General features: G+C 45.1%; 1 long non-coding RNA gene across 2 annotated transcripts, besides 1 other annotated feature; it reads right to left on the bottom strand.

Annotated features, from left to right (window-relative positions):
* Positions 1 to 8,473: 8,473 nt before the first annotated feature.
* LOC105370952 (uncharacterized) lies at positions 8,474 to 12,247 on the bottom strand. 2 transcript variants are annotated; one of them, XR_932579.2, is made up of 3 exons: positions 12,125 to 12,247; positions 11,408 to 11,565; positions 8,474 to 9,394 (listed from the first exon to the last, which is right to left on the bottom strand). It is a non-coding gene; the product is annotated as an uncharacterized LOC105370952 (long non-coding RNA). The 2 variants fall into 2 exon arrangements; XR_932580.2 differs by having other exon boundaries at positions 8,474 to 8,995.
* Positions 8,644 to 8,903: a silencer, noted in NCBI's record as "silent region_6788". NCBI's record gives its function as "represses an Ori minimal core promoter by ATAC-STARR-seq in GM12878 lymphoblastoid cells {active_cell/tissue: GM12878}" and the evidence as "EXISTENCE:reporter gene assay evidence [ECO:0000049][PMID:35858748]".
* Positions 12,248 to 13,892: the final 1,645 nt, after the last annotated feature.

Below are 13,892 nucleotides of genomic sequence, written 5' to 3'. Positions count from 1 at the left end.
TCTGAATTCCCTTCAGTTCAGCAAGCCCTCTTAAGAACCTACTTCAGCCGGGCGCGGTGGCTCACGCCTGTAATTCCAGCACTTTGGGAGGCCAAGGCAGGTGGATCACCTGAAGTCAGGAGTTCAAGACTAGCCTGGCCAACATGATGAAACCCCATCTCTACTAAAAATACAAAAATTAGCCAAGTATGGTGGCAGGTGCCCCAAATCCCAGCTGCTCGGGAGGATGAGGCAAGAGAATCGCTTGAACCCAGAGACAGAGGTTGCAGTGAGCTGAGATTGTGCCATTGTACTCCAGCCTGGGTGACAGAGCAAGACTCTGTCTCAAAAAAAAAAAAAAAAGAACCTACTTCATGCTCAGCCTTGTGCTAAGCAGGGAGGATGAAAAATAAAGTTCTGGCTTGGCCATGATGGCAGAATAGTTTTGGTAGGCAGGATAACGACCCTCAAACATATCCACATCCTAACATCCCAAACCTGTGCATGTGTTATCTTATATGGCAAAAGATTTTTGTAGATGTGATTAAATTAAGGATCCTGGGATAAGGAAGGTCATTCTGGATCATCCTAGTGGGCCCAGTGAATCAAAATAGTTGTCCAGGGTGGCAGGAGTTCATGGGCTGAGTAAGGTGTGCTGTATTTGTAACAAAGGGATTAACGAAACTGAGCACATCAACAATGATCGAATGTGCAAATACCAGAAATTAAAGACACTACAAATTCCTGTCCTATCTTGGAACATTTTGTGGCTTGAATTGCCAGATGGGAGTTAATGACTTATAATTAATGGAAGGTCAAATCAACTGACTTGTATAATCAACAAACTTACAAACTCCCATTTTACCATGTTGAGGCAGTTTGGTGTGTTAGAAAGAGCCAGGGGTCTGGATCACCTGGTAATTTACTATGTGCATTTTGGCAAATCACTTAAATTCACTAGATCTCTGTTTGCTCATGTGTAAAATGAGAATAATGCCACCTCATCAACCTGAGTAAATTACCTGGCCCTGAGCCCAACAATAGGGACCTATTATTGAAGATCTGTGTTAATATGGCAATAATGATAGGGTCTATGCAATACTAAAGTGTCTGACTGAAAAAAGAATAATTAAGATAACCCTTATAATACATTAGCCACCACAATATCAATGGTGTCCCTATGTGGAAACATTCATAGATCTGGTGATAAGATATGTACGACAGCTATTGCAAATGACTGTGAGTAAGACTTAGAAAGGGCACGGAAGGGACAGGTACCCCTCAGACACCAGTGCCCCGGGATGATAAAGAATCAAACACAAGGCATCCATGGGGTCACTTTACAGGTAATGCATCTTTAAGAGAAGAGATCTAGGTCTGAACAGCTGAGCTGACATTCTGGGTATCCTGCACCCACCATGGCAAAATTTCAAAGCTTCTTGCAAAAAAAAAAAAAAAATTATTAGACATCCAGACTCCCCTTTTGTTTCCCACCTTTTTGTACTCTTCATGTAGTAGACAGCCTGATCCCAGGTGGGAAATTATCTTTGAACTCTCACTTTTCCATGCTATCACTTTCCCATATTATCACAATAACTCAGGAGTCTGTATTCAGTGGGGGTGTAAGTGGATTAGATGGAGAAAGAGAGACTTGGAGCAGAAAGAAGACAGAATGTGATGCTCAAGTGTTGGAATAAAATTCCTCTTTACAGTTACTCTAAGGAGCTGTTTCTATGCATTTCCAGTAAGCTTAATGATCAGTTTCCACAGCATCAATCATGTTGAGAAGCTTCATTATAAAACAGCCAAAGCATTATTCATAGTCACTCTGATGATAATATGATCATATTATGGGAATAATATTAAAGCACAGAAAAATAAGAAAAATGGGTAAGGATTGGGTTGGAAAGGTACTACTCTGGGAAATATAGAGCTAGTTATCATCTGGAGCACCCATCACAGGCTTTACATGTTTAGAAAGAATCGCAAGATTTCAAGTCTGCTTGTAGAGAAATACTCAGTGTCACATTTTACAACCCAGTGTGCTCCTTTAATAAAACACATTATTTAATATTGTATCTCAACGTGATTCATTCTACTATGAGTAGTTAATATTCTTCCCAGGTGCTGAAGAACCAGAAAGTCTGGAGCTGAAAATTCGAGGGTCAGGCCAGTTTAATCCCCTTTTGTTCTCAAATCAGTGATAAATAGATTACCAGAAATATTCTCAGGGACTGAGACAGACAGGCTGGACGACATAGAGAATTTATTTCAAATCCAGCTTCTGTGAATCCAGATGTCCATTCATCTCCTATGCAAAATGCTGCCGGAATCATCTGCTGACTTGTAAATGTCCATTTCCAGTCATAGAGCTCTCCCACATTAGCTTTGGGATCATGACCCAGGGAGCTGTTTAAATATCAGTCCAGCAACCTGCACTGTTAAGCTTTTTTTTTTTCCTAATCTTTTGAATTTTATTAAGACTTATTTTATCACCCAGCATATGGTCTAACTTGGTAAATATTCCAGGTGCATTTGAAAAGAATGTGTATTCTGTTCTTGGGTATAATCTCCTATAAATGGCAATTAGGTCCAGGTAACTGATAGTATTTACATATTCTATATTCTTACTGATGCCTTTGTCTAATTGTTCTATTAATTACTGAAAAAGGGATGTTAAAAATATTCAACCAGGATCGTTGACTTGCCTAGTTGTCCCTTTAATCTTCTCAGTTTGTGTTTCATACATTTGGAAGTTCTGTCATTGGTCACATATGCATATAGAAGGGGTGTATGTTCCTGCTGATTTGGTTCTTTTATTATTATAAAATAATCTGTATTGTATCTCATAATACTCCTTGCCTTGAGGTCTATTTTGTCTAATATTGTTATAATCACACCAGCTTTCTTATACTTACTATTTTCATGGTATGTACTTTTCCATTCTTTTACTTTTAAACTATCTGTGTCTTTACATTAGAAGGGTGTCCTTATAGGCACACTTTATAGAGCATAAAGACGGGAATTGCTTTTTTATTCAGCCTGATAATCTCTGTCTTTTAATTGTTATGTTTTGTCCTTTTACATTTAATGCAAATGTTGATATGTTGGTCTATCATTTTATTATTTGTTTTCTATTTGTCCTATCTCTTTTTTGTTCCTCTGTTCCTTCTTTTCTACTGTCCTTTGGGTTAATCAAACTTTTTTAGTATTCTATTTTAACTCCTCTATTGGCTTTTGAGTCACTTGCGACATTATCGTTTCATTAACCTCGCCTAGTCCTTTCTACCACTATTGTCATTATGGTACATCTACATACATTATAAACGCCACTGATTTGAGAAATTGTATTCAGCAATTAATATATAAATAATACATAAAATAATATATGAGTCGTTTGAGTTCCTTATATTCTGATTATTAATTTGTTGTCAGATGAACAATTTGAAAATATATTCTCCCATTTTTGTAGGTTGTCTCTTCACTTTCCTGATTGTTTTCTTTGCGTTTGTGCAGAAGCTTTTATGTTTGATGTGATCCCATTTGTCCATCTTTGCTTTGGTTTCCTGTGTTTGTGAGGTCTTACTCAAGAAATCTTTACCCAGACCAATGTCCTGGAGCATTTCCCCAATGTTTTTGCCTAATAGTTTCATAGTTTCAGGTCTTACATTTAAGTCTTTAATCCATTCTGATTTGATTTTTGTAAATAGTGAGAGATCAAGATCTAGTTCCAGTGTTCTGTATATGGATACCCAGTTTTCCCAGCACCATTTATTGAACAGACTGTCCTTTCCCCAATGAGTGTTCTTGGCACCTTTGGCAAAAATTCTACCTTCCAATACCAGATGAAGAGAGAGGAAAGTAGAAGGAGGAGAAAGAAAAAGAAAGGAAAGGAAGAAAAGAGAGGCAAACCAATGAGTTCAATTGGCCAATTCACACAGTGGCTTCTGTACCATCACTCTGAACACTGTCCCAGCGTAGCCCAAAGCCCCCTTGCCTCCTTCCAGCTAAGACCCTTGCTGGCCCAGATCTGTACAATCAAGAGTAGTGTTCTACACTGGAACTTCAAGTTATTCTTCCTAGTTCATAGGCACAAACTCTGCCTAAAGCACAGGACATGCCTGGATCCCCAACCACAGCCACATTCAGAGCCGGCTCCGTGTCTTCTCACAAATCCAAGGGTCACCATCTCACCTTCCCTCACAGTGAGTTTGTACTCCAAGGCCCTTGGCGTCCTTTCCTCTCATAGGGCCTTGCTCAGGACCAAGTGTTCTATACTCCTACAGGTTTCCTGATCTTTTAATTCCAGACAGGGGTTGGAATATCAGTCCTTTTCCTTCCACAAGGCCTCTAGGCTTCTAATGCAAGTCGATGCATTCTCCAACTCCCGCCACCTCCCCCAGCCACATCCCCTTGCACTTGGAGGGGAGAAGCAGCCTTGAAGAGCCAGATAAAGCATCCTGTTAGCCTCTGTTCCCAGGAAAGGATTATCTACCGTTCCTCCCCTTGCATATTGATAGGAGCTACCCAAGTGGCTCTTCAGGAAACAAAAGAGCCCATCTCATAGTGACTTTTAATATCTGGCCAGACATTGAAGATACTGGGACAGCTTTTAAAATCCAGCTTCACAGAGTACTCAAATATACAAATATCTGCTTGCACATTGAAAGCTGGCAGAATATGCCACATCAACATATGCTGCTCTGGCGTAAGGATTATTTTGAGCTATAGGCACTTTAAAAAATACATGAAAGAAGGGCATTCTGACCCTTCCCTTTCTCTTCCTGAAAGAAGGAGATAACACCTCCTTACAGAAGAGGTCCTCCCTGTGCCAGAAGGAACGTTTGTTCTTATTATCAAAGATGGGAAGTTGAGACCAAGAGAATCCTATAAAAGTAAGTCTTGTTAAAATTTGTATCTTTCTTGAGCCTCCTCATATACTTTTTTTTTTTTTTTTTTTTGAGTCAGAGTCTCTCTCTTCTCTGTCACCCAAGCTGGAGTGCAGTGGCACAATCTCGGCTCACTGAAACCTCTGCCTCCTAGGTTCAAGCAATTCTCCCGCCTCAGCCTACTGAGTAGCTGGGATTACAGGCACCCGTCACCATGCCCAACTAATTTTTGGTATTTATAGTAGACACGGAGTTTCACCATGTTGGCCAGGCTGGTCTTGAACTCCTGTCTTCAGGTGATCCGCCCGCCTCAGCCTCCCAAAGTGCTGGGATTACAGGTGTTAGCCCCACACCCAGTCAGCCCCCTCACATACTTTAGTTACTTTTCCACAATTGCCTGCCTTTGTTCAACTTAATATAAGAGCATTTAGGTTTTGTCACTTATTTGGGTATTCATTTTCTCATGAGAGCTCCCATGTCACATGAAATTTATATTAAGTAAATTTGTTTGCTTTTCTCCTGTAAATCTGCCTTATGTCAGTTTAATCCTCAGGCCCAGCCACAACACCATAAGAGGGTATAGGTAAAAAATTTTGCCTCCCTTATGCTGTCTTCTCTGTTCCTTGATGGTGAGGATATTGGGACTGACCGAGGGTTTGAAACCCCAGTGGCTGAAACAACACTGACACAGAGGAAATGTGCCATAAATGTTTGAGAATGGATGAACAGATGAATGAACTAACTGCTGAGTTAAACCCAGGCTGGGCTGACAAGAGGCAGTAGAAACAGCCTGCAGGGAGCAGAGAAAACACCTGTACATTTCCCTACACACTCCTCACTTAAGAGTGGAAACGGGGGTCTTATGGAGTCCCATTCCGTTCCAGGCCACCGGCAGAGTCGTGTTTGCTAGTGCACAGGGCCACTGTATGTTCACTCTCTGTGTACATCCACCAGACCTCCTCTTCTGCCCCTTCCTTCCAAGAGGCTAGATGCAGAAGTGGGCCAGTGTCTTCCCCAAGATCCACCATCTTGTGAGCCAGTGTCTTCCCCAAGAGTCAACATCTTGTGAGCCAGTGTCTTCCCCAAGAGCTGCCATCCTGTAAGTGAGCCAGTGTCTTCCCCAAGAGCCACCATCTTGTGAGCCAGTGTCTTCCCCAAGAGCTGCCATCTTGTAAGTGAGCCAGTGTCTTCCCCAAGAGCCAACATCTTGTGAGCCAGTGTCTTCCCCAAGAGCTGCCATCTTGTAAGTGAGGCAGTGTCTTCCCCAAGAGCCACCATCTTGTGAGCCAGTGCCTTCCTCAAGAGCTGCCATCTTTGCCTCCACGCCATCCCTCATGGAGAGACAAAATACTGGAGCAGGAAACTCTGCCTCCCAGGTTTCCTGTCACAGCAGATGCTGCAGAAACATCCTAAAGTATCCCTGTTGCATCTGATGACCAAGTCAGAGCTGGATGTGTCATCCTGCCCTTCATCCATCATGAATCTGAAGTGGTTTTGGTTACTCTGATGATGCAAGTGTGAATTTCCTTCATGAGACCTGAGTCTGCCATCCCTGAGAGCTGGAGCTGAGCCTCCAGATGTGAAAAAGAAGAGCAATGGCTCCTGTTGATTCTGGGGGAGGGGGGTGGGATAGCATGCCTCCCCCATGCAGCACCTGCTCCAGCCCCTGGCACGAGGAAGGTGCTCAGCAAGGGCGAGTTGCTGCCCTTACCATCTTAGACTCACATAAAGAGCACATGCGGCCGGGCGCGGTGGCTCACGCCTGTAATCCCAGCACTTTGGGAGTCCGAGGCGGGTGGATCATGAGGTCAGGAGATCGAGACCATCCTGGCTAACAAGGTGAAACCCCATCTCTACTAAAAATACAAAAAATTAGCCGGGCGCGGTGGCGGGCGCCTGTAGTCCCAGCTACTCGGGAGGCTGAGGCAGGAGAATGGCGTGAACCCGGGAAGCGGAGCTTGCAGTGAGCCGAGATTGTGCCACTGCAGTCCGCAGTCCGGCCTGGGCGACAGAGCGAGACTCCGTCCCAAAAAAAAAAAAAAAAAAAAAAAAAAAGAGCACATGCACCTATAAAATGGCCCAAAAACTGAGACTCACAAAAGTTAAATATTACTCAAGATTACACAGCCAGAGAGCCTTTCTCCACAGGGCTAGTGAGGCTTGGAGCATCCTACTCCAATTTGCCTTACTTGAATTTTGACCTACCTGAGATTGTATAATGTCTTAAAAATCTGATTTTTTAAGAGGAGGGACAGTGTTCTGTGACCCATCTATCTCCAGATAGCTCAGATGGTGAACTAATTCAGCCAACCCCCTATCTCCTAACTAATACCCACACTGAAACAACTCAATAATAAAAACACGAATAGCTCCATTAGAAAATGGACAAAGCAGGCCAAGCGCAGTGGCTCACACCTGTAATTCCAGCACTTTGGGAGGCCTAGGTGAGTAGATCACTCGAAGCCAGGAGTTCAAGACCAGCCTGGCCAACATGGTGAAACTCCGTCTCTACTAAAAATACAAAAATTAGCCGGGCAAGGTTGCACATGTCTGTAATCCCAGCTACTTGGGAGGCTGAGGCAGGAGAATTGCTTGAACCTGGGAAGCGGGGGTTGCAATGAGCTGAGATTGTGCCACTGCACTCCAGCCTGGGCAACAGAGTGAGACCCTGTCTCAAAAAAAAAAAAAAAGGAGAAAAAGAAAGAAAGAAAAGAAAATGGACAAAGCTGCTGGGCACTGTGGCTCACGCCTGTAATCCCAGCACTTTGGAGGCCAAGGTGGGTGAATCACTTGAGGCCACGAGTTTGAGACCAGCCTGGCCAACATAGTGAAACCCCATCTTTACTAAAAATAAAAAATTATTATAAAAATTAGCTGGGCGTGGTGGTTCGCGCCTGTGGTCCCAGCTACAAGGGAGGCTGAGGCAGGAGAATCGTTTGAACCCGGGAGGTAGAGGTTGCAGTGAGCCGAGATCCCGCCACTGCACTCCAGCCTGGGGCAACAGAGCGAGACTCCGTCTCAAAAAAAAATTTTTTTTTAGTAAAAGAAAAAGAAAATAAAACCTACTTCAAAGGGTTTTAAGAACACCATGTGAAAAAAGAATTCTACTATAACAAAATAAATATTAGCAATCTCTTCAATTTGTTTCTTTAAAAGCTGAAGGCTGATATTTAGGGGGAAGTGTTCTAATGTCTGCAATTTACTTTTTGAAATGCATCTGAAAAATAAGATGGGGCCAGGCACGGTGGTTCACAACCGTAATCCCAGCATTTTGGGAGGCCGAGGCGGGCGGATCACGAGGTCAGGAGATAGAGACCAACCTGGCTAACACGGTGAAACCCTGTCTCTACTAAAATACAAAAAATTAGCCAGGCGTGGTGGTGGGCGCCTGTAGTCCCAGCTACTCGGGAGGCTGAGGCAGGAGAATGGCGTGAACCCAGGAGGCGGAGCTTGCAGTGAGCCCAGATCACGCCACTGCATTCCAGCCTGGGCGACAGAGCAAGACTCCGTCTCAAAAAAAAAAAAAAAAATTAAAAAGAGAACAAGAAAAAGAAAAAATAAGATAGTTTGAAGGATGGAAAGAGGGATGAATAGATGGACAGATATGCAATGAAACCAATAGAGTAAAATGTGAATAACAGAATCTAGCTGATAGATAAATGTGTGTCCACTGTAAAAGCATTTGAACTTTTAAGTACTAAAGTTTTTCAGAATAAAATTTTGAGGAAAATGGGGAGAGGTGCCACTTGCATTTTACAAAATATGAACATGCTTCTCCCCTCCCCCGCTTAGTTAGACGCGCGCTCCTTTCTGGTCTGATTGCGTTAGCAAGTCACCTTGCAGCCCTGCCCAGCGATTCGGTCCGGTGGGTGCCCAGGATAACACGCGCCAGCCTTCGCCGCTTGCGAAATGTTCAGGGCTCTTGCCGCCAGAGGGCGCGCCCGCGGAGCGCTGAGCGCCAGGGCGCCAGGGGCTGGGTGGCCCGCGCCGGGAAGTGACAGACTCCGGAGCGGACTTTGCCCGGGGGTGGGTCCCAGGCCAGCTGCTACTGCAAGTACCTGCAGAAAACAGCTCTTCGAACCGGACAGTGCGAGAGTCAGCGCCTGCTGCCTGGCCGGGCAGAGATTCTGATGAAGAAGAGAGAGGAAACTGAGTGTGCTGAGGCAGTGTCAGACAATGCTAAATGCTTTCCTAGCACTTATTTCACGTTTTAGTTATAAATCAGCCTGAAAATAGAACGGTAGTGGAAGTGCGAAGGACATGCATTTCATTCCCGGCAGAGGCTGCCCAATCAGGACTCCTGGTCCTCTGAAGACAAAGCAGCTTTTTTGGGGTAGGGAGCGGGGGCGGGATAGCATGCTTCCCCCGCCCTTTCCCCCATGAGCAAAGGGGCTCAGAGTAGCTGTGTCCCCTGAGCTGAGGTGGCAGCTCCTGTGGGTGCCCTGGGACCTCACTCAGCATCTTCAAAGAGCCTGTGCACCCTGCTCCTTCCAGCTTCTTCGTGGAGGGCTGGAGAAGTTGTGAACCTTTGTCAAAAGACAGAAGCACAAACTTAAAGATCTAATTGGCTTTTATTTGCAATTCTAGAAGTGAGCAACACCTCATCCTATAAAATGAGCTGAGCACAGGAGGTTGGCTTTGCAGGCAGAGAAGAGCGGCAGAAAGCAGAAACAGAACAAAACACGGACTGATCATGTCAAAGTTACTTTCCCTACAGGGTTAAAGCAGAGGGGACTTCCTTATTACTTAGGTTGATGCAGATTAAATGGAATGTTTTAGGGGAACTGGCCCATTTCAAAGTTCAGTTTGATGACACTGCACTTAGCACAACTGACTCCATTCTGGTGTCTGGCCTGCTGGGGCCTAGTGCAGGAGACTAGTTCCATAACAACAGCCTCCCATAAATGATGTTTCACACCTCAAACCCTTCCTCACCTCCAGTCATCCCAATGCTCCCACTGACCCAAGTATTTTCTCAGACTATTTGGTTCCCCAGCCACCAGAGAATCAGGCATAAATCATAAGTCACTCTGTATTTTAAGACCATAATCATGCTGGGTGCAGTGGCTCATACCTATAATTCCAGCACTTTGGGAGACCAAGGCAGGTGGATCACCTGAGGTCAGGAGTTCGAGACCAGCCTGTCCAACATGGTGAAACCCCGTCTCTACTAATAATACAAAAATTAGCTGGGCGTCGTGGCAGGCACCTATAATCCCAGCTACTCAGGAGGCTGAGGCAGGAGAATCGCTTGAACTGGGAGGCAGGGGTTGTAGTGAGCCGAGATCATGCCACTGCACTCCACCTGGGAGTCACAGCGAGACTTTGTCTCAAAAAAAAAAAAAAAAAGAGAGAGAACCAGATATCAAGAGTACTTATAAACCCTATAATTCAATTTATATAAAACTGTAGAAAAAATAATCATGACAGAAGAAGATGAATGCTTGCCTTGGGCCATTGGCTGGGGTGTCAAATGGAATGGGGCACAAGAGAACTCTGGGGGGCAATGGAAATGTTTGTTCTGTATTTTCATTGTGGTAGCGGTCACATGTATGTAAAAACTTGTTAACATTCAATGAAAAGTTTGCTTGAAAAAAAAAAAACCTGCCTTCCATTACTCTAATCTTCATATCTGGGGTGTTCTTCCTATTGCGATTGTGTGAACAAAATCAATTGCTCTACTTGTTCAGTTTTTCCAGGTTTCTCTACTCCATGTTCCAGAAGCTACCAACTGGGAGTGTGCAGACTGACGCACAATCGTTTCCTGGCAACTCCCCAGTAGAAGCTAAGGTGTATCTGCTTCCTGCTAGGATCCTGACCCGGGACGAGGGCCCACCTCTCTGCCTGCCTCCTTTAAGGGACGCCTCCTGCTCCACAAGTTTCTGTCCTCCCTCTGAGGGAGCCCTGGAATGTGCTCCATCTACACTACTAGGGCCACGTGGACTATCCTAGGAGTTGGGAGGGCAGGGTGCAGCTGGGGAGGGAATGCTCGCAGAGAATGGGGTTGGGGTGGCTTTGGCAAAGAATGCACTTGGGGTCTGTAAAGAGGTCAGAGAAGAGCAGGGCCACCTTTGCTCATATCAGATGCTGCTTGGCCACCCACACCTGACCCTAGCTCTAAAAGCCAGTGTGTGGAGGGTCTGATTCTGTAAACTGGATGAAAGAGCAGGGAGGATTGAATGAAGAAGATACAGGAGGAGCACAGGCTACCTGGGCAGGGGGCATTTCACTGAGGTATTCTTTCAGCAAGCTTTAATTGAACAAACACAGTGGAATCTCAATGGTCTTTATGGAGTGAGTGCAGGAAAGAAAGAATGAATGAATGAATGAATGAAGATAAGATAAGATCCCTGCACTCTCAGAACTCACCTTCTAGATAAGAAGACAATTCAAATACAAAAATACCAGTAACACAGAATGGTATATGAGAGGTACCATAAAATTTTATGGAAACGAACAGAAGAGAAAAATCACTTCTAGCAACACTGCAGGGCCATCCTACCCCTTATGAGTGTTGATGCAAATTAGAAGGAGCTTACCTGAACAGACCCAGCCTCCTGGGCCCAGCGGCCTGCAAACAAAGAGCAAATGCTTTTATGCCACTCTGCTCCTCAGCCAGGCATCCTGGTGCAGGACTCAGCCTGCTTCTCTGTGAGTGGCAGCCAGGGCTTCATGGAGGAGATGACATTGGAGTTTGCTGGAAGAACAGAGAAGACAGAGAGGACTTAGACCAGTGGGGAGGTGGGGAAGGTGGCAAGGGAGCAGATTAGAGGAGAGAAGAGGATATTCCAGGCAGAAGGATGGGTGCACCAGGATCCTGGAAGCAGGGGATAAAGAGATCTTACAGGAGTGTTAAGATTCTGCTGGGGCTGTCCCCTGGAAGGCCATAGGGGCACTTATCTTTGTAGTGGGTGTCCTCAGGTCACATGCTCAGGCCAGCCAAGCAGGGCAGCCCAGTGACTAGAGAGCATAGGCCTGGGAACTCTTATGAGTTGAATTTTGTCCCCCCAAAATTTATACGTTGGAACCCTAACCCCCAGTGTCTCTGAATATGACTGTACTTGGAGTTAGGGTCTTTAAGGAGGTAATAAGTTCGAATGAGGTCACAGAGCAGGGCCCTAATCCAACAGAACTGCTGTTCCTAAGAAAAGGAAGGCACACCAGGATGTGTCAGCACAGAGAAAAGACCGTGTAAGGACCCCATGAGTAGGCAGCCATCTGCAAGCCAAGGAGAGAGGCCCCAGAAGAAGCCAGACCTGCCAAAACCTTGATCTTGGAACTCCAGCCTCCAGAACTGTGTGAAAATAAGCTTCCATTATTGAAGCCCCCAGTCGGTGTTGGCAGCCTGAGCAAACGAACACAGGAGTCAACATCAGGCTCCTAACTTCCTCACTGTGTGTCCTGAATGAGTCATGTAGCCTAGCTCAGTTTGTTTTCTGATCTGATATGGAAAGCAAAGGTAGAAACGCCCAGGGTGGCAATGAAGCTTAAGTGAAATTGCACTTGTAAAATAGGCAGCTGGCAAGTACGCAGATGTTGACAGAATAGTCTGGTTTCTAAAATGAGATGCAGGCCGGGCACGGTGGCTCATGCCTGGAATCCTAGCACTTTGGGAGGCCAAGGTGGGCAGATCACCTGAGGTCAGGAGTTCAAGGCCAGCCAGGCCAACATGGTGAAACCCCATCTCTACTAAAAATACAAAAAAAATTAGCTGGGTGTGGTGGTGCCTGCCTGTAATCCCAGCTACTCTCAAAAATAATAGTAATAATAAAAAATAAATAAAATGAGATACAGGCACCCTGTGGGGGTGAGGAGGGGAGAAAATTCACTGGAGTGGAGGAAGAAAAGATAAGAACTTATTTCTTTTTCTTTTTCTTTTTTTTTTTTGAAACAGAGCCTCACTCTGTTACCCAGGCTGGAGTGCAGTGGCGCGGTCTCTGCTCACTGCAACCCCTGCCTCCCAGGTTCAAGCAATTCTCCTGCCTCAGCCTCCCAAGTAGCTGGGACAACAGGCACCTGCCATCACGCCCAGCTAATTTTTGTATTTCCAGAACAGACGGGGTTTCACCATATTGGCCACGCTGGTCCCAAACTCCTTACCTTGTAATCCACCTTCCTCGGCCTCCCAAAGTGCTAGGATTACAGGCGTGAGCCACCGCACCTGGCCAATAACTTATTTTTTATAGTTAGTTCTTTTTTTCTTGAGACGGAGTTTCACTCTCGTTGCCCAAGCTGGAGTGCATTGTTGTGATCTCGGCTCACAGCAACCTCCGCCTCCAGGTTCAAGCAATTCTCCTGCCTCAGCCTCCTGAGTAGCTGGGATTACAGACACGTGCCACCACGCCTGGCTAAGTTTTTTAGTTTTTTTGTAGAAACACGGTTTCACCATGTTAGCCAGGCTGGTCTTGAACTCCTGACCTCAGGTAATCTGCCCGCCTTGGCCTCCCAAAGTGCTGGGATCACAGGCGTGAGCCACCGTGCCCAGCCAATATAGTTATTAGTTATTTCTTTTCTTTCTTTTTTTTTTTTGAGACAGAGTCTCACTCTGCTGCCCAGGCTGGAGTGCAGTGGCGTGATCTCAGCTGACTGCAACCTCTGCCTCCCGGGTTCAAGCAGTTCTTGTGCCTCTGCCTCAGCCTCCCGAGTAGCTGGGACTACAGGTGTGCACCACCACGCCCGGCTAATTTTTGTAATTTCAGTAAAGACAGAGTGTCACCATATTGGCCAGGCTGGTCTCGAACTCCTGACCTAGTGATCAGCCCACCTCTGCCTCCCAAAGTGCTGGGATTACAGATGTGAGCCACTGCATCCAGTGCAATATAGTTATTTCTTAAATTTATTTTTATAGTTATTCTTATGTCCCCATTTTACATTTCTCTTTTTATATATGGCTTTAATGAGCATAATACATTAATGTTTATAATTTATGAAAAAGTATCATCCTTGTAATTTCTACTTTGTGCATGGTTTTAAGGTACACCCTATATAAATCCAGTGCTAACTGTATAAACTATATGACTAAAC

Source organism: Homo sapiens, chromosome 15 (assembly GCF_000001405.40).
Source record: "Homo sapiens chromosome 15, GRCh38.p14 Primary Assembly".
NCBI classification, from domain to species: Eukaryota; Metazoa; Chordata; class Mammalia; order Primates; family Hominidae; genus Homo; species Homo sapiens.
The sequence above is the reverse complement of the archived record's forward strand: the minus strand, read 5'-3'. Positions and strand labels throughout refer to the sequence as shown.